The following is a 17,181-nucleotide window of genomic DNA, read 5'->3' as shown; positions in this document are numbered from 1 at the left end:
CAGAGACATGGGGGCAGCCTTGGGGTGCTGCTGGGCATTAAGGGGACAACAGCCTTAAACACGGCACACCCTGTGATACAGAGCTCACTCCCAGGACATCATCAGAGAAACAGGGACAGCTGAGTGTTTACAGGGTGGCGGCAGCCACAAAGAACTGTCGCAGCCCTGACACCTGACAAGAGCCACAGGACTGGATGCAGATGCTGGTTTAGATGGGGCCAAAAATGAGCGGCACTGGGAGACCCTGCCACGCATGCAGACCAAAGGCCAGGGGAGGCACGCCACCGTGCGGCATTCACGTGCTTCTTTTTGCTTCTCAGCATTTGCAATCTGCTACCGAGAACATGCCCTGTTCTGTAATCAGAAGAGCGAGGGAGGAGCAGCAGCCGCAGCTGGCAACACAGGGCCCCTGCCACCGTCCCCCACACCTCCCCACAGCAGCTCTGAGCAGAGGAACCCCAACTGCCCTCATCCTACAGATGAGAACACTGAGGCTCAGGGAGGTTAAGGCAGTTTCTGAATGTCACACAGCAAACAAGGGCAGAACCAGAGTTTGAACCCAGGCTCCCATCCTCTCTGCCTGCTGCCTGTCAGGGACATAAAGCACCTGCACTCCTTCAAAAAGGAGGAGCAAAGGAGGCCTGCCCCTAGTGCAGCGAGCCCTTCCCCGTGGAGCCCTGCTTTCTCCTTGAGGCTGGCATTCAACAGAGACCTCCTCTTCCTGTCCCCGCAAGCCCCGGGCAAGGGCATTCACTTCCCTGTGCCTCAGTTTCCCAGCTGTAAATGGTGGCGGCTTCTTGGGTTGCTTAGACTCCGTGGACATCTTGCGTTAGGGCTGAGCATGGGTGCCAGCCCCTAGCGAGTGCTCAGAACAGCAGCTGCCACAGAGTTCTCACACGGTGCCCTGGGCTCGCGGCCCCACCACCCCGCGCCAGCACACGCAGGCTGTCTGGGCTCCGTGTCTGGGCCGCCTCCCAGTGCTGACAGCACCTCAGCGTGGGCATCACCGTGAGGACAGGACGGGAGCCCCCATACACCACGTGCTCTCCAGCCCTCACCTGTGGCGTTGCGGGGACACCGGACAGCAGCCACCTCTCCCGCTGGGGTCTCCTTCCAGATCACAGCACCAAAGTTGTCCTCATCACAGATCTCATGGGGCTCTGCCAAGGGGCCCGGGACAGGGGTTCAGGAAGGGGTACTGAGAGCCGGCAGCTGGCTCTGGAAGGTGCAAGGCGCCTGGAGCAGGCATCATTATGAGGACAGGACGGGAGCCCCCAACACACCACGTGGGTGACAGCTGAGCCCAAGCCCGCCCAATCGCCATCAGCCCTCCCCAGAGCCCAGCCCAGGTAGGAGGGGCCTCACCGGGACACCGCTGGGTGCCGCACTGCCGGTACTCATCCTGGGGGCCCTGGCAGGCTGCTCCCCCGAAGAAGGGCCCAGAGCAGACACGCTCCCGTCGCTGGCTGCCAGCCCCACACGTGACGCTGCAACTGCCCCATGACGCCCAGGCCTGCCACTTGCCATCCACTGCGGGGCGTGGCCAGACACAGGGCACAGGCGACAAGAAGGGCAGGGTCCAGGAGCCACAGTGACAGGAGGACACAAAGACAGGGACCCACACAGAGCCATGCGGCAGTGAAACATAGGGACCCAGGAATGTGGGGCAGGAGGTCAAAGAAGGGAAATTCAGACCAGGAGAGGAGAAATCAGTCATCAGCCTGATACAAAATAAAGCAAACACCCCACATGCAGCCAACCCCACCACCCTCCACACCTCACTGTGCACCCTACTACCCCACGGCCACCCCACACTCCACTTCCCCACAGACACCCCAAGTCCCACTGTGCACCCCGCTACTCCACGGCCACCCCACACTCTGCTTCTCCACAGACACCCCAAGTCCCACTGTGCACTCCACTAATCCATGGCCACCCCACACTCCACTTCCCCATGGATACCCCAAGTCCCACTGTGCACCCCACTACTCCATGGCCACCCCACACTCCACTTCCCCATGGACACCCCAAGTCCCACTGTGCACCCCACTACTCCACAGTCACCCCACACTCCACTTCTCCACAGACACCCCAAGTCCCACTGTGCACCCCGCTACCCCATGGCCACACTCAACTTCCCCCAGAAACACCCCAAGTCCCACTGTGCACCCTGCTACCCCACAGCCACCCCACCCTCCACTTCCCCATGGACACCCCAAGTCCCACTGTGCACCCCACTCCTCTCCCCATGGCCACCCCATGCCCCACTCTCCTCATGGCCACCCCACACCCCACAGTGCACCTCACTCACCCTGCAGCCACCCCATGCTCCGTTTCCCCCACAGCCACCCCAGACCCCACTGTGCACCCCACTCCCTCCTCAGTCACATGCCGGGGCCCATGGTTACCCCCACCCGCTGTGGGGCCTGTCCCCTTCCTAGAGGCTCCTGCTTGTTAGGTGCCCCCCGACCCCAGCCTGGCGCACCCCTGACCTGGGCACTGCTGCAGGAAGCAGTCTCGGGTCTCCACCCAGTGGCCCTGGCACTCCGCACCCCCGTAGGAAGGCCCGTTGCATTCACGCGTGCGCTGCTGTCGGCCCTGGGAGCAGCTGGCGGAGCAGGCGCTCCAGCTCGACCACTCATTCCAGTTTCCATCCACTGCCCGGCCCGGGGGAGGAAGGAGACACAAAGTGGGCGTGAACACCCGGCACCCCAATGCCTGGCTTGGAATGTGGGTGTGAGCACCCTGGGTGCTACCACCCCACACCCAGCCTGGGACATAGATGAGAACACCCTGGGGGCCACCACCCACGGCCAGCCTGTGACATGGGTGAGAACACCCAGGCTGGGACACGGGTGAGTAAACCCTGGGGGCCACCACCCCACATCCAGCCTGTGACATGGGTGAGAACACCCTGGGGGCCACCACCCCACACCCAGCCTGTGACATGGGTGAGAACACCCTGGGGCCACCACCCCACACCCAGCCTGGGACATGGGTGTGAAAACCCTGGGGGCCACCACCCCACACCCAGCCTGGGACATGGCATGAACATCCAGCCTGGGATATGGGTGAGAAAACCCTAGAGGTCACCACCCCACACCCAGCCTGGGATATGGGTGGGAAATGCCCCAAGGTCACACCTCAGTCTGCTTCCTAAACCCAGTCTGAGGTTCCAACCTCTGAGCACCCTGAGGTGGGTCTGGAGTGGGCAAAGCTGGGCTCCTGGGCCTGGCCGGTGGCCCACTGTGACCTCCCCTTTCTTCCCTTCCTCCCTGCCCCTACGCCCTCCCTCTCACCTACCAGGGCACAGGGCAATGTTGCAGAACTTGGTTTGCTTCTCAGGGCCCTCACAGGGGTTGCCCCCAAACTGGGGGGGCCTGCAGGTGCGCGTGCGATCCCGAAAGCCACGGCCACAGGTGCTGGAGCAGAGGCTCCAGGGCGACCACTCATCCCAGGCACCATGCACTGCAGAGGGACGGAAGGTGCTGCTGCCCACTGCGGCCACCGCCCCCGCTGCCCTGGCCCCCCGCTGCCCTGGCTGTCCGCTGCCCCAGCCCAAGGTCCCACCCACCTGGGCACACGGCAGAGTTGTTGCACAGCCGCTGCTCGCGCAGGGGTCCGCTGCACTGCGTGCTGTAGGAGGAGGACACGCAGAAGCGCGTGCGGGTCTGCCAGCCCTCGCCGCAGGTGCTGGAGCACACGCTCCACGGGGACCACTCCTCGGCTGCTGGGTCACCTGCAGGCCCCACTACAGCGTCACAGGCCTGCCGCCCATGGGGCTGCAGTCAGACCGGGGCCAGACCCCGCAGCAGGAGGGCTGCCCTGCTGGGGAGCAGGCAGCGGGGCTGGGGCAGAGCCCCCGGGCCTTCGAACCAGGCTGATCTCAAGAACTGGCCATTTCCCCTACAAGGCTGGGAGCCCTGAGGGCCGGCCTGTGCCATCCCTGGGCCTCTGGGGTCTGGCCAGGGACACGTTTCTTCACCTCACACCAGTTCCCCTAATGCCAGGCAGTCAGGAGACAAGAGCCCTGCACCTAAGGGTTTAGTCTAGTTATGGCATGTTATTCAAGTTACTACCCATAACTAGCTGCAATTGATAACTTACAGTATTTTCCCAAAGCCCTAGTCCCACCCACCCCCCTCCCGCCAGCTCACCGGTCTGGGGGGCTGGGAACCCAAACTGCTGCAGCTCGTCCCCCAGCTCCTCGCGCCGCCGGGCATCTGTGGACCGCAGGGACTGGCTCCGGGAGCTGGTGCGCCCAGCGGCTGCAGGACGGGCTTAGGTCAGCACAGGAGCGGTTCTTTGCCCCCGTCCTCTCTCTCTGTGGCCACAGTGCTCTGAGTTCGGCAGCACTGGGCCACCTGGCTCCACTGGGCAGCTGGGAGCCAGGGACCAGAGTGCCCAGCCTGGCACCAGCCCTCATCTGGTCACCAGGGGACCCTTCCTGTGGGTCCTGTCTCCCATACCCCGCGCCACCTCCCTCACTGCCTCCACCGCCCACAGGCCAGCGTTCACCTGCAGGACGGCTGCTCTCCCGTGCCTGGCACCCCAACAGCCCCCTGCCTCCCTTCCGCAGCCCAGCCGATGCCCCGGGGCCCTCCCCAGGCTCCTGAGAGGAGCTCTTCTCCCCAGGAAAGTTCACCAAGGAAAAAACAGCCCAAACAATGACAGTCTCATTACAACGTGATTTAACTTCATGGAAGCAGCTAAAAAATGCATGGGGTCATTAGAGAGCCTTATTACAGAAATACATTCTGGAGGCAGTATCCGGCTGGGGCAGGCGGGCTGGCTTGGCCAGAGGTCCCACAGCCAGCCTTCCGCACACCCTCCAAAAACCCCAATCCACAAACCGGAAGAAAGCCCCAACTAGTCCCACCCAGCCCCAAGCACCACCCTCTTCGGGGCCCTCACCTCTGCTCCCCCGGCTAGGCCCCACTCCCACGGGCCAGCCCCGAGTTTAGGTCCTGCTTCTCAGAGCCCAGACCCACCCTATTCACTCTTCCTGCAGGCCCCGCCCAGCGTCTGCCAGGCCCCGGCCCCGGCCCCGCCCCTACCTGGTCCCGCCCCCAAGCCCCTCCCTCCACCGGCCCCTTCTGCTCGAGGCCCCGCCCCGCCCCCACGGGCCCCTCCTCTCCAGGGCCCCACCCCCCTCTCCTCCCTCACAGGCCCCGCCTCTCCAGGGCTCCGGCTCCGCCCCGCCCCGCCCGCACTCACGGCCGCAGGCCTCGCGGTTGCACTGGCGACCCTCCTCCAGCACCCCCTCGCAGCCGCCGCCCTCCACGCCCGGCGCGGGCAGGCAGGTGCGCGTCCGCGTCTGGAGGCCTCCCCCGCAGTCCCGCGTGCATTCGCCCCACAGGGACCACAGCTTCCAGCCGCCTGGGGGGAAACCAGAGGGCGGGGATCAGGGCAGGGCAGGGGCTCGTGGCCTGGACGGGTAAGTCATGGGGGTGCTAAGCCCGCCGAGGCCGGCCCGGGTGGGGAGGGGCCGCAGTGCCGGGGAAGGCCTGGCCTGGGAGGACCTGGGGGTCTGGTGTCTACCCAGCTCCCGGGCCCCCTCTGGAGAGCTCAGGTCACGTCTGAGCCTGAAGGGTCCCCGTGTGCCAGCCGCCACTGGGCAGGTTTGCCGCCAGGATGATGAAGGGATGACGACCTCCGCCCACCAGAGGGCTGCCTCAGAGCACAGCGTCCTGATGGTAAGCAGAGGGTAGAGGGGCCTGGCCTCCAAGGCTCTGGTTCCTGGCACGCCTGGAAGCCCTCTCCAGGCTCCGTCCAGTTTCTGGCCAGGCCCTGCTCATCAGAGCCTCAGTTTCCTCATGGGCTCAGCGGAGGGTCACCACCCTCATCACCAGGGCTCCACATTTCACACCCCAGCTGTGACCTGGAGCCGCTTCTTCACCCCACGCAGGTATACCAGTGGTGATCAAGGCCTCACACCTGGTGTCCAACCAGGGCCTCGAACCCAGGGCACAGCCTGACGGAGCCTGCCCTGGACCTGGCCAGCTGGCCACCCGAGGAGGGAGCCTGGGATAAATGCCTGCAGGCGCCTCCCCGCCACGCCCCTGCCCTGACCCCGGCCGCTCTGTTCAGCTTCTCTAGTGAGTCTTTCTCCATCCCTGCCCCGACAGTCCCCGCGGCCTTCATGGACCTGTGTTCCCCTAGCAAACCAGACCTCACGCCCCAGGAGTCTCTGCTCCCGGGGGGTCCTCGTGCTGCCAAAAACACTTTGGGCTGCTTGGAGTGCCCATGGTCCTGGAGCACTGGGTAGCCATGGAGGAGCACAAAGCAGGAGAGGGCCACTGCCATCTGTGGGCCAGAGAGGGGCAGCAGCACCAGGGGGCCGGGAAGGGGCTGCCGCGTCCAGGCCTCCCGCTCGGGCCTCCTGCCCAGCACTCTGGGCTCATGTACACCCTGTGCAGCAGGGTCGGGCGACTTGGAAAGGGCATGCAGCCCTTGCCAAGTGCTGCTCCTGGCTACGGTGGCGAGGAGACAGCTGGCGGCCACCACGAGGGGACCCACCATGGAGCTGGGGCCGCTGCCACTGGGGAACACTGGGGATCCGGCAGCTCGATCCCAGGTACAGCAGGGGAGGCCCCAGGGGCAGCAATCAGGCCAAGCACAGGCCACCCCGACCCACCAGAAGGGCCCCAGGGCCTCTTGGAGCCTCAGGAAAGGGGCCCTGCCTCCCTCAGTGGGAGTGTGGACTGCAGGAGACCCCAGGGTAGCTCCAGCTGCCAGATTCCCCCAGTGGCCCCACCACCCACTGGCCTCACTCCCATCATTTACAACATGAGGATAATGGCTGACCTCCCAGGACTGACAAGTGGGAAGTCAAACAGCAAAAAAGGATATGAGAGGACGGCGTGTGGCATTGTCACTTGGGTCAGAGTTGACTCCCGGGGCCCCACTTTGATTTTCAGCAAACTCAGTGTCCAGCCAGAGTGCCCCCCACCCTGCCCCACTTCCCCACACCTATGCCAGGAATGGCCAGCAGGGGGTGCCAGGGGCATGGGGATGAGACCCAGGAGAGGGACTTGACCCACCACAGCTGTGGGAGGCCTCATTTTCTCCCTGGTGGGGTCCATAGGGTGGGAGGAGTCTTCCAGGCCCCCACACCTGCTGCAGAACCCTCTTCCTTCACTCACAGAGCCATACTCCCACAGGTCCCAGAGAGGAGAGCACCTGGCTGAGGGTGCACAGCAGTTGAGCTGCCTCCTCCATAGCGTGCTTAGCCCGTGCCATGCCAGGAGAGGTGGGGGACTCAGCACGGCCTCCAGGGCACAAGGGCGGGACAGGGTGGCACCTGCCCACAGCATAGGAACAGGTGACAGGCCCTTCGTGGCTGCCCTGTCACATGCCCTAACTCAGGACAAGGAGAGGAACCTGGACTTGAACTGGTGGTCAGATTCCAAACGCCCCCATCCCCCAGACTAAGGCCTCCTGCCAGGACTGTCTGGGGCCCAGGTGCTCCGGGCCTCAGTGGTCTCATCTGCTGAAGGCATCCCACCACCCCGATTCTGAGGCAAAGGCACAGACGGGGTCCTAAGGGGCGGGCCTGACAATGGGTCAGGGTGGCACGTCCTGCGGCACCCCCCTCGCCGTCCCAGCCCAGCCCCCATGCGGAAGCCTGAGTGACGTGGAAACTGGCAGTGGGCGGGAGAGAGAGGGTGTCCAAGCCAGGCTCATCGGAGGATGCCACTCGGTTCCCATGGCAACTGCTGCAGCACGCAGCCTTTCAGGAGAGACCCAGGTTAGGCCTCAGCTGCCAAAACACCCACTCATTTCAGGGCTGGTTACCTTGGTGACCCAGGTGGTGAGGATGTGGTAGGGGGAGAAAGGGCGGGGGCACATCAGGAGAGGCTTCGGAGGGGCGGGACACTGGCCCAGAGGATGGATCACCCTGCCCCCACAAACCAAGCCTGACCCTGGTCACATACTGAACCCTGACTTTGGACCCGTGCTGAGCCCTGATCCAGGTCACAAGCTGACCCTGGACGCATACTGAGTCTCGATTCTAGTCACACACTGATTCCTGACCCTGGTCACATATTGAGCCTTGATCCTTATCACAGACTGACCTCTGATCTTGGGCACAGAATTCCTGATCCTGTTATATACTGAGCCCTGATCCCAGCCACAGACTGATCCCCCATCTTGGTCACACTCCTGCTACTAATGAACACTGAGAAAATGGTAGCTGCTATTTTTATTCTTGTTTTGTTTTTGATGTGTGTCCCCTCACTTAGCTGACACTCAGTAAATGTTTGTCTAGTGAATGTATCAATGCCAGGATGGAGCCCCTGGGGTCCGCAGTGCAGGGTGCAGAGGTGTTCAAGCCACGCTTCACTGGGTGGCCACAGTGTGTCTGAGCTGGGTGGACAGTGAAGGGCAGCAGAGGAGCAGCAAGCAGGCTGGGGGGTGGGCCGCCCCTCCAGGACCGGAAAGAAACCGCCTTTCTTCCCCCACTCAATGCCGGCTCTGTCTGGAAGCCTCATTTCCATCTCATTAAGGGGATGAATAGAGCCAATTAACGGCCCCAGGCAGCCTGGCCACCCAGGGGAGAGGGTGCTTGGTGAGAGGCCTCCTGGTGTCCTTCCCACCCTGGCGCCCCAGACTGGAGGCTGTGAGCTCCCCACAGCCCGCACCCCGAGTTGGCTGGGATGGGGGTGCGGGGGAGCACAGGGGGCGTCCCTCCCTCCAGCTGGGCCTCCCTAGCTTCCGGGCTGTTCTCTGGAGGAGAGCTGTGCACTTCTGTCTGTTGCCAGCAGAGGTCTCCCGACTCCAGCAGGTCGGGCAGCACCGGGGCTGGAGGGTCAGTCAGTTCTGCCATTCCCACCCTGCTCTGCCACCAGGTCCCAGGCACCCACAGCGTGTCCGAGGGATGACCCCACCTCCAGCCCAGGCTCCAAGTTAGGGTTTGTCCTGGGGCACCCAGACTCCTCTGAGACCTAGACCAGGGCCCCCTGCACGGACGTGGAAGGGAGGGCCCCGGAGGGTGGATGGGGCGCCTGGTGGCCTGACTTAGCCCACCTGCTGCCAGCCGCTCCTACTGGAGGTGCCCAAGTGGCTGGTCCCCCTTCCTCCCGCCACAGAGGCGGGCACCAGCAGATCTCAGGATGGGGCTGAGAAGCCAAGTCCACCATCCGGCAGGCCACTTCCCAGGTGAGCTAAGAGCGAGGAGCCTCGTGGGGCAGCGGGGCTCCCCGAAACCTGTCAAGCCTCCATCTCCTTAAAGCCTCACGTAGGCCCTGCTAGCAGGTACTGTCCCGTCTCTAACTCTCAGGAGGGAAACTGAGGCTCCCTGAGCTGGCCGAGTCTTGTTGCTTCCTTTTCTTGATCAGGCAGGTGCTCCTTGGCCTGAGAATGGTGCCCTGTTTACAAGCCTGAAAGCCCAGGGCCCATCCCGGAGACCTTGGACAAGTCTCTGCCCACCGCCCGGGCCCCGACCCCGGTTGTCTGCTGCCAGCTCCATGTCCTTTCTCCCCATCTTTCTGGGAAGTGGAACCAAAATACAGTGCCCTGATTCTCAGCCTCTCTCGCAGCCAGGCGGGCGTGGGGTGCGTTCTGGCTCTGAGCGGAGGAGGTGAAGGGCTGAAGGCATGGTGGGCCCAGCATATCATTCCCATGGGGCCCCATCCTGCCATCCCCATCTGAAATGGGTGTTGTCTGTGATGGGGACTGAAGCCTTCTTGTTTTCTAGATTTTTCTAAATTGGCCCTTGTGCAAAAAGAGTGGCTCTCCTGTCCAAGCCAGAAACCCCTGACAGTGGAGACCTTGGCACCTTCCCAAGCCCCTCGGTGCTCCCTGTCACCATGAGACTACCTGGAGTCCCAAACTCCACTCCAATCCTGACTCCTCTCCAAATTCCAGCCCAGGCTTTGCCGCTCCCTCTGCCCCTGCACACCCCAGACAGGCCTCCAGATGCCTCTTCCCAGGACTTCCGGGGCTCCTGGGGTTGGGGCTGAGCCTGACTGTGTCTCCAACAGCCTCCAGAGTGAGTGTGGGGTCACTGGGCAGGTGGGCCTGGGCTGAGCCTGACTCACCCTGGAGGCAGGGCAGGGAGGGGGAGGTCACCCCATCTCCGTGGCCGGTCACAGCCCCTCGGCCAGCAGTAAGCCTCCCACACCCCTGCAGGATCCAGGAGCCCAACGGAATGTGTGGGTTCACACTCCACACCCAGTTCCAGCCCAGCCTCCCATACCCACTCCCTGTGGGCACACAGAGGACGCACACAGGGACACACAGGGATATACACTCGAGGACACACAGGCACACAGACCACACACAGGGAAGCAGGGACACACACACACAGGGACACACACCACAGAGGGACACACACACAGGGACACATACACTAAATTGGCCCTTGTGCAAAAGGAGTGGCTCCCCTGTCCCTCCTTGTGCAAAAAATGGCTCCACACACACCACACGGGGACACATAGGGACACACACACACACGAGGACACACACACTTGCTCCCAGGCCCCAGGACGCTGCTTTTTCATGATCTTCCATGTCGCTCGTGCAATAAAATTCTTTAATTAAAACATGAATATTTAAAACAACCCTTGAGAGAAACGGCCCCACTCACCCTAGGCGGAAAAATGCAAAGGGAGGCAGTGGGGAGGAAGTGATGAGAGCCAGAGAGAGCCGGCAGGAGAGGGGCCTGACAGCCTGGGGGGCGGTGGGGCGTGGGGCAGCACGAGGTGGAGGGGAACAGTTGCTTGGCCTGAGGAGTGTTTGCAGAGTCTGACGCGTGACGTGGCCATGTGGCACTTGGACAGGCCGTGCGGGGGGCAGGGCTGAAAATGGGCCACGGGCTGGCCTGGGCTGCCTGCTTGCTCCTGCACTTGGCTGTGTGTTGCCTGCTAGGGACATGGACGGATGGACAAGCCTGTCCCAGTGTCCCCAGGTCCCACAGCGAGGGCACAACGCTCCCTGGGCACAGGTCTCAGCTGGCAGGATCTGGGGTCAACTCTGCCTCTGCTCAGCTGTGTGTCTTCTGAATGGTCACCTGCCTCTCTGGTCCTCATGCCACCCCATCCCCCCCACGCACACGCACGTGCACACACAGAGACATACACACATACATTCACACAGGCACTCACACATTCACACACATGCATGTGCATGCACTCACATTCACACACAGGCACGCACACATTCACACACATTCACGTGCACACACACGCACTTGCGTTCACACGCACGTGCACATACACACATGCACGTGCATACACACACATGCACGTGCACACACACATTCACACATGCACACATGCACACACATTCACACACATGCACGTGCATACACTCACATTCACACATGCACGTGCATACACACACATTCACACATGCACGTGCATACACACTCACACATGCACGTGCATACACACATTCACGCACGTGCACACACTCATTCACACGTGCACACACTCACATTCACATCTGCATGTGCACATACACACTCCCACATTCACACACATGCACGTGCACATAGACACTCCCACATTCACACACATGCATGTGCACACATTTACATTCACACATGCACGCGTGCACACACATTCACTCACCTGCACGTGCACACACATTCACACACATGCATGTGTGCACACATTCACATTCACAGATATGCACACACATTCACACATGCACATGTGCACACATTCACACACATGCACACACACACACATGCACGCATGCACACACATGCACACACGCACAGCTCTGAGCAGAGCTCACTGCAGACGCCCTAGTGTTACCACTCGATGGCAGCGTCAAGGGGCTCTGCCATCAGCCTGCCACTTACAAGCTGTGTGGCCCTGGCTGCTGCCTTAACATGTCTGTGCCTGGTTTTCTCCAACTTGGACTGACTGAGTGCCTGCTGCTCCCAGGTACTGTTCTACACGTTGGGGGGCACGTCAGGGAACTGGCAATGCCTGCTTTGTGCTGCTTACATCCTGGCCTGGACAATCAGAAGTGGACACAACAAATAAGGGAAATTATGCAGTGTGTTGAGAGGTGACACATGTGTGCAGAGACAGAGGCAGGATAAAGGGTCAGAGAGTGGGCCCAGAGCTGCTGCCATTTTCAACAGGACGGTCAGGGTAGCCTGCAATGAAAGGTCACATGTGCGTGAGGACTGGAAGGCGGGAGCCCTGCGGGTCTCTAGGGAAGACTTCCTGGCAGAGGGAACAGCTGTGTGAAGGCCCTGAGGCAGAGCGTGCCTCCACAGGAGCCTATCTCCCGTGCAGGTGCCTCTGGCACAAAGTAAACACTCAATAAATGACTATTACTACTGAGATCACTTTTGCTGCTGTGGTCCTGGAAGCATCAGGGCCTTCTGGGCACAGAGCGTGGGCACTAGGGTCCGAACTGTCTCTGGGCCTAGGAGACGACATTCCACCCCATCCTGCACAAGATGACAAGCTCCCTGCTTCATGTTGCCAGCAGCCGAGTCAATATGCCCTCTAGCCGTCTTTCCACAAGACCAACGGCCCCTGCCCCACAGCCTTTACCTGTGTTCTGTCAAAAATCGCTGCACAGAGCCCAGCCTGGATACATACATTCACACCGTGCATGCATGTCACACACACACGCACATGAGTAATGTACTGCACACGCACACACACACACACACGCACCCACACTTACATGGGGGCACCCACACCACATATATGCATGAGCACATATGCACACATGTATGCCATGCATGCAAACGTGCACATGCCACACTTGCACACGCACATGCATGAACACGCACACACAACACACTTGCATGAATGCATGCGTGAACACACATCCTCCCACCTCTTTCTGAGCACCACCTCCAAACATTCCCTTTCTCAGAATCTCCGTGCACACCTCAAGCTGCTCGAATATCCCTGCCTCCAGTCTGTCTCTGCTCCCTGAGCCCTCTAGAGTCTCCCTGCCTAAGAATACGCGAGCATATTGATATTTCATCGTCAACATCGCTTCTGCTTAGAAACACTTCACCCCAGTTCTCATTCATCAGGGCAATCTAAGAAACAAGATATTTTTACCCTTCCTGTTTTAAAGATGAGGGGCCTGAGGGGATGAGAGACCTGATGGAATTGGCCCAGGGACATACGGCAAGCCGGGTCAGGCTGGGATTTGAACCCAGGCCCTGGGGCTCTGCAAAAGTGGCTCAGAAGCTATTTTCAAGCATCCATTGCCCCACCCTGGCCCTGTCCTGGTGCTCCAGTTGTCAGAGCTGCCTGTTCACATGACACTGCCAGCTGGCTACCTCACAGGCAGCTCACACTCAAGTCCCACTCTGACCTCCAGATCTTCTTCTCCTCTGCAACCCCCAGCCCCACTTCCTCAACTCAGCTGACATCCTCATTTCTGGCGGGACACCTGGGAGGGGTTCCCTGCCCATGTCCACATCCTTTCATCAGTAAGTCGATCATCAGCTGCACCCCAAGGCCCTCCTCTTCCCTCCCACTGCTGCTGCAGCGTCCTGACCAGGCCAGTGGCAGTCCCCTCCTGAATGCCGGCACCGGCTGCCAGCCCGTCCCAGGCTTCCCCTCAGGGCTGACATCTCTTCTGCACTCACAGCCCAACCATCTGGCTCTTCTGCCCAAAGCCCTGCTAAGGCCCTTGGGTTCCCAAGATAACGTGGGATCTCCCACGGGAGGCCCGACCACCTTACACCATAGGGTGCCTGCACTCAGTAGGTGCCCAGTGAGGAGTGAAGCTCAGCGCTCCCTCCGACACCCACGTCACACAGTGCCCCAGCCTCTCCACGCGTCACATGCGTCTGTCCCGCCAGCTCTTTCCAACAAGCTCCACGCTGTTCCGAGCACTATTAGGAATGGCAGAGCTGCTGCCCCCTGATGCTGCTAACGACCAGCTCTTCAGTAGTGGGTGTAATCTTGGGCCGGGCCCCTGAGACCCATCAACTGGAGGAAAACGCTCTGCAAAGGAGTTGGTATTCTGCCAAGGAAGGAACCAAGGCTCTGAGGGGTGAAGTGACCAGGAGTGGCAGACCAAGATGCACGGCCAGGTGTGCCTGTGACCGCTGGGCCCAGTCCTCCTGCAGCCTCCCACCTCCCAAACCGTCCACCACCCCATCTCTACTCCCTGAAAGAGCCCTCCATATCTACTTCGTTCTCTCCCCAGTCCCCCTGACACTCATCCCTGCCACACCACAGAAGCCGCCCTCACCAAGGCCACAGTGACCTCCACTCTGCCTGGTGGGGGCTTGGTCCTCAGCCCCTCCCACCCAGCCGCTGGCGGCACCTGACGCAGCTGAGGTGCCCACCTGTCCTGACACAGCATGACCACTTGGCTTCCTGGCCCCCCACTGCCCAGGGGCGCTGCCTCCCTCCTCCTCGGGCCACTGGAGGGCTGGGCCAAGCCTCACGCCTGTCCCTCCTTCCTCTGGCCCCTCTCTAGCCCCACTCACGGCCTCACAGAGGCTTCTTATCTGGGATCCATGGCCCCGTGTTGTGGGTAGAACCATGCTCCAGCATAAATGGCTTCCTCTGTAGCCCTGCGTAGCCTATTTTGTGCCTTTAAACACAAAATTCTGAGGAGTCCATAGGCTTCACTGGCCCCAGAAAAGTCAAGGCCCCTGGGTACCCCTAAGGGTCCCATTGCCCCAAGATGGCCCTCCAGCCTTGAGTATACAGCCCAGCCTCACCCCCGAACACCCGATGTATGCAGTCAGCCCCTGCCTGGCATTGCAAACTCAAACCCCTCCAATCCCCCAATCTTCCCAGATGCTAACACCAAAACCCTGGGCTTCCTTCTCTTTCTTGCACGTCACCCGTCAGCAAGGGGTCTCCATGCCCTAGGTGTGTACGGGACCCATCTCCTGCACTGAGGCCCACGGGGCCTCCACAGGGCTCTACCCCGAGGACGCTGCTCCTGCGCACGCTCCTGTCTCATGAGCAGGAAAAGCCAGTGTCCCAGAGGCTGGCAGCCCCACAGGACTGGCCCCTGCCCCTCTGTGCTCTCCGGGCACAAAGCCACCCAGGACTCGCCACTTGCCGTTCTCTCTTCCTGGCATGAGGTTCCCCCACCTCTCGCAGAGCTTTGAACAAGGTCCCTCGTCCTCGCAGCCTCCCTGACCTCCAGGTACAATGGCAACCCTGCCATGAGGGGCCAGCCCTGCCCGGTTCTAGTGCAAGGCTCTCATTGCTGCCTGAGGCCTGGCTGCTCGTGTCTTCGTGCTTAGGGCCTTCCTCTCTCCCTTACGCAGCTGCCTGAGAGCAGGGCTCTGGAGGGTTTTCACTGCTGCAGCCGTGGCCCCAGCACCTAGAGCGTGTGGCAGAGGTGATTCATCCACCGAGAGCATACTCAACCCGAAACCTCATCTGACCACGTCTCCACAGAGCCCACCTGCCGACCCTTCCACGCAGCCCGAGTCCCCAGGACCATCATCCAGCCCCAGAGGCTCCTGCAGTCCCCAGCCCCAGGCCGCTGCAGCCTCTGGCCCATTAAAGTTGTCCTGCCGGAGAGAAAGGGCGGGCCCTCTCCCAGCCAGGAGGATGACCCTTTCCCATCCTGGAGGGAATTAGGCCTTCAATGCTCAACCAGCACCCGCCGTGTGCCCGGGCTGGCCCTGCACACCTGCAGTGACCTTCACTCTTACTCTGTGCACGGGTGGATGGAGCAGGCGCCTGGGAGGGTGCCAGGGTACACACTCTCCAGACAGCGGTGCTAGCAGGGCAGCCCTGCGGAAGAAGACCCCGGTCCACCTCCCCTACCCACCCACCTCCGCCTGCCCGCCCACCTCCTCTGTCCGCCCACTTCCCCCATCCGCCCGCCTCCCCTGTCTGCCCGCCTCCCCTGTCTGCCCACCTCCCCTGTCCGAAGGTTTCCCCGCCAGTCACTCACCTGTGGCGCCGTGCCCGCCCCGGTCCTGGGTCAGGCTGGTGAGGCAGTTTTCAGGGCCACCAGCCACCGCATCTCTCAAGCAGACATCCCCGCGGGGGGCCAGGGGTCCCGCGGCAGGGCCGCCCGCCTCGCCGCCCAGGCAGGCGCAGGGGGTCTGCATGATCCCGCAGGGGTGCGAGCTGCGACTACCGGCCAGACACGCGTCCAGCCAGCGGCACAGCATCTGGCAGGCGGCACGGCTGGGGTTGCGGTTCCCCACCACCAGGTACTCCACGGAGAAGTCGTCGGTGGGGCCCGGCGGCCCGGCCCGGGGCCGGAGCCCGTCGTGCTGGGGCGGCTGCTGGCGCCGCATCTGCAGGAACTGCTTGCTGGCCTGCAGGAAGGCCAGGGGTGCGGAGGGGTCGCAGAGCCGCAGCACCTCGTCGAAGCTCTCCACGCCCAGGTAGGTGCGCGTGGACTCGAGGAAGGAGTCGAACTGGTAGGTGCGCACGCGGCCGGGGCCGCTGCAGGGCACGGGCGCCTTGGCCACCTTCATGTAGAGAGTGTAGCGCCGCGGGTCCGGGTTGCGTAGCGTCCAGGAGCAGCGCGAGGCGTTGGCCGGGAACACGGCGGCCGCGGAGAAGTAGCCGAAGAACTTTCCCTGCACCAGCGTGGCGCACGGCTCGGGCCCGGGCCCCGCGTCTGCTCCGGCGGCCGCCCGCGCGCGGCGTCCCAGCAGCAGCAGCAGCAGTAGCAGCGGGGCGAGGATCCAGACGGGGCCCGGGGCGGCGGCCTGGCCCCTCATCCTAGCTCGCGGGGCCGCCGGGGTTCCGCGGGCTGGGCAGGCAGGCGCGGACCAGGTCTTGACATGCCAGGGTCCGGCGGCGGGCAGGGCCGGCCCGGTGGGGGCAGGGAGGCGGGGCAAGGGTGGGATGGGAGAGGGCCCCGCTTCAGGTGACAGAGAGGGCAGCAACGGCTTCTAAAGTCCAGGGCCCTGGTGCCAGCCTGTGGCCACCAGCAGCAGCTGGAAGAGAAAGAGCAGAGGGTCAGAGTGAGCACTTGGGGAGACGTGGGCTCTGGGCATGGGGGTGGGCTCTCTCAGAGGAGGCAGCTTAGCCTGCTACCAACGAGGGCAGGAGGACTTTGGGCCGCAGACACAGGCCCTGGCACCCTCCCAGGCACCTGCTCCGTCCACCTGTCTGTCTGCCACTCACCAATGTGACCACCTGCAGGGGCAGCGGCCCAGCTTGGGGAACAAAGTACCTCCGCCTCCACCCAAGCCTGAGCAGGGAGGGGCTGGCAGTCCACCTGGGGCTTTTGGTGGTACCCCTT

At 62.3% G+C, this 17,181-nt stretch overlaps 1 protein-coding gene and 1 long non-coding RNA gene across 18 annotated transcripts in view, besides 6 other annotated features; one reads left to right on the top strand and one right to left on the bottom strand.

The window, feature by feature from the left end:
- ADGRB1 (adhesion G protein-coupled receptor B1) overlaps positions 1–17,181 on the bottom strand; it is a 95,359-nt gene that overhangs the window by 64,155 nt on the left and 14,023 nt on the right. For 14 of the 17 annotated variants that reach the window (XM_017013695.2, XM_047422057.1, XM_017013691.2 and 11 more), the window contains exons 2-9: positions 15,871–16,873; positions 5,218–5,379; positions 4,158–4,268; positions 3,575–3,739; positions 3,304–3,468; positions 2,493–2,666; positions 1,366–1,530; positions 1,059–1,160 (exon numbers count right to left, since the gene is read on the bottom strand). In XM_017013695.2, coding sequence (XP_016869184.1) covers positions 1,059–1,160; positions 1,366–1,530; positions 2,493–2,666; positions 3,304–3,468; positions 3,575–3,739; positions 4,158–4,268; positions 5,218–5,379; positions 15,871–16,654 — 1,828 coding nt within the window. In that variant the 5' untranslated portion in view covers positions 16,655–16,873. The remainder of the gene's footprint in view (positions 1–1,058; positions 1,161–1,365; positions 1,531–2,492; positions 2,667–3,303; positions 3,469–3,574; positions 3,740–4,157; positions 4,269–5,217; positions 5,380–15,870; positions 16,874–17,181) is intronic. The other 3 variants (XM_017013693.2, NM_001391985.1, XM_017013697.2) reach the window with 2 other exon arrangements.
- Positions 5,003–5,302: a silencer, noted in NCBI's record as "silent region_19599". NCBI's record gives its function as "represses an Ori minimal core promoter by ATAC-STARR-seq in GM12878 lymphoblastoid cells {active_cell/tissue: GM12878}" and the evidence as "EXISTENCE:reporter gene assay evidence [ECO:0000049][PMID:35858748]".
- LOC124902075 (uncharacterized) lies at positions 5,216–12,305 on the top strand. The gene is made up of 2 exons (XR_007061195.1): positions 5,216–5,696; positions 5,909–12,305. It is a non-coding gene; the product is annotated as an uncharacterized LOC124902075 (long non-coding RNA).
- Positions 8,356–9,095: an enhancer, noted in NCBI's record as "H3K27ac-H3K4me1 hESC enhancer chr8:143553119-143553858 (GRCh37/hg19 assembly coordinates)". NCBI's record gives its function as "activates a minimal SCP1, AML or CMV promoter by ChIP-STARR-seq in primed H9 embryonic stem cells {active_cell/tissue: H9 hESC(primed)}" and the evidence as "EXISTENCE:reporter gene assay evidence [ECO:0000049][PMID:30033119]".
- Positions 8,785–9,034: an enhancer, noted in NCBI's record as "active region_28064". NCBI's record gives its function as "activates an Ori minimal core promoter by ATAC-STARR-seq in GM12878 lymphoblastoid cells {active_cell/tissue: GM12878}" and the evidence as "EXISTENCE:reporter gene assay evidence [ECO:0000049][PMID:35858748]".
- Positions 9,838–10,579: an enhancer, noted in NCBI's record as "H3K27ac-H3K4me1 hESC enhancer chr8:143551635-143552376 (GRCh37/hg19 assembly coordinates)". NCBI's record gives its function as "activates a minimal SCP1, AML or CMV promoter by ChIP-STARR-seq in primed H9 embryonic stem cells {active_cell/tissue: H9 hESC(primed)}" and the evidence as "EXISTENCE:reporter gene assay evidence [ECO:0000049][PMID:30033119]".
- Positions 10,580–11,321: an enhancer, noted in NCBI's record as "H3K27ac-H3K4me1 hESC enhancer chr8:143550893-143551634 (GRCh37/hg19 assembly coordinates)". NCBI's record gives its function as "activates a minimal SCP1, AML or CMV promoter by ChIP-STARR-seq in naive H9 embryonic stem cells {active_cell/tissue: H9 hESC(naive)}" and the evidence as "EXISTENCE:reporter gene assay evidence [ECO:0000049][PMID:30033119]".
- Positions 16,672–17,177: an enhancer, noted in NCBI's record as "H3K27ac-H3K4me1 hESC enhancer chr8:143545037-143545542 (GRCh37/hg19 assembly coordinates)". NCBI's record gives its function as "activates a minimal SCP1, AML or CMV promoter by ChIP-STARR-seq in naive H9 embryonic stem cells {active_cell/tissue: H9 hESC(naive)}" and the evidence as "EXISTENCE:reporter gene assay evidence [ECO:0000049][PMID:30033119]".

The sequence above is a fragment of the Homo sapiens genome, chromosome 8 (assembly GCF_000001405.40).
Source record: "Homo sapiens chromosome 8, GRCh38.p14 Primary Assembly".
Classification (NCBI taxonomy): Eukaryota; Metazoa; Chordata; class Mammalia; order Primates; family Hominidae; genus Homo; species Homo sapiens.
This window is presented reverse-complemented; position numbering and strand designations above follow the sequence as displayed.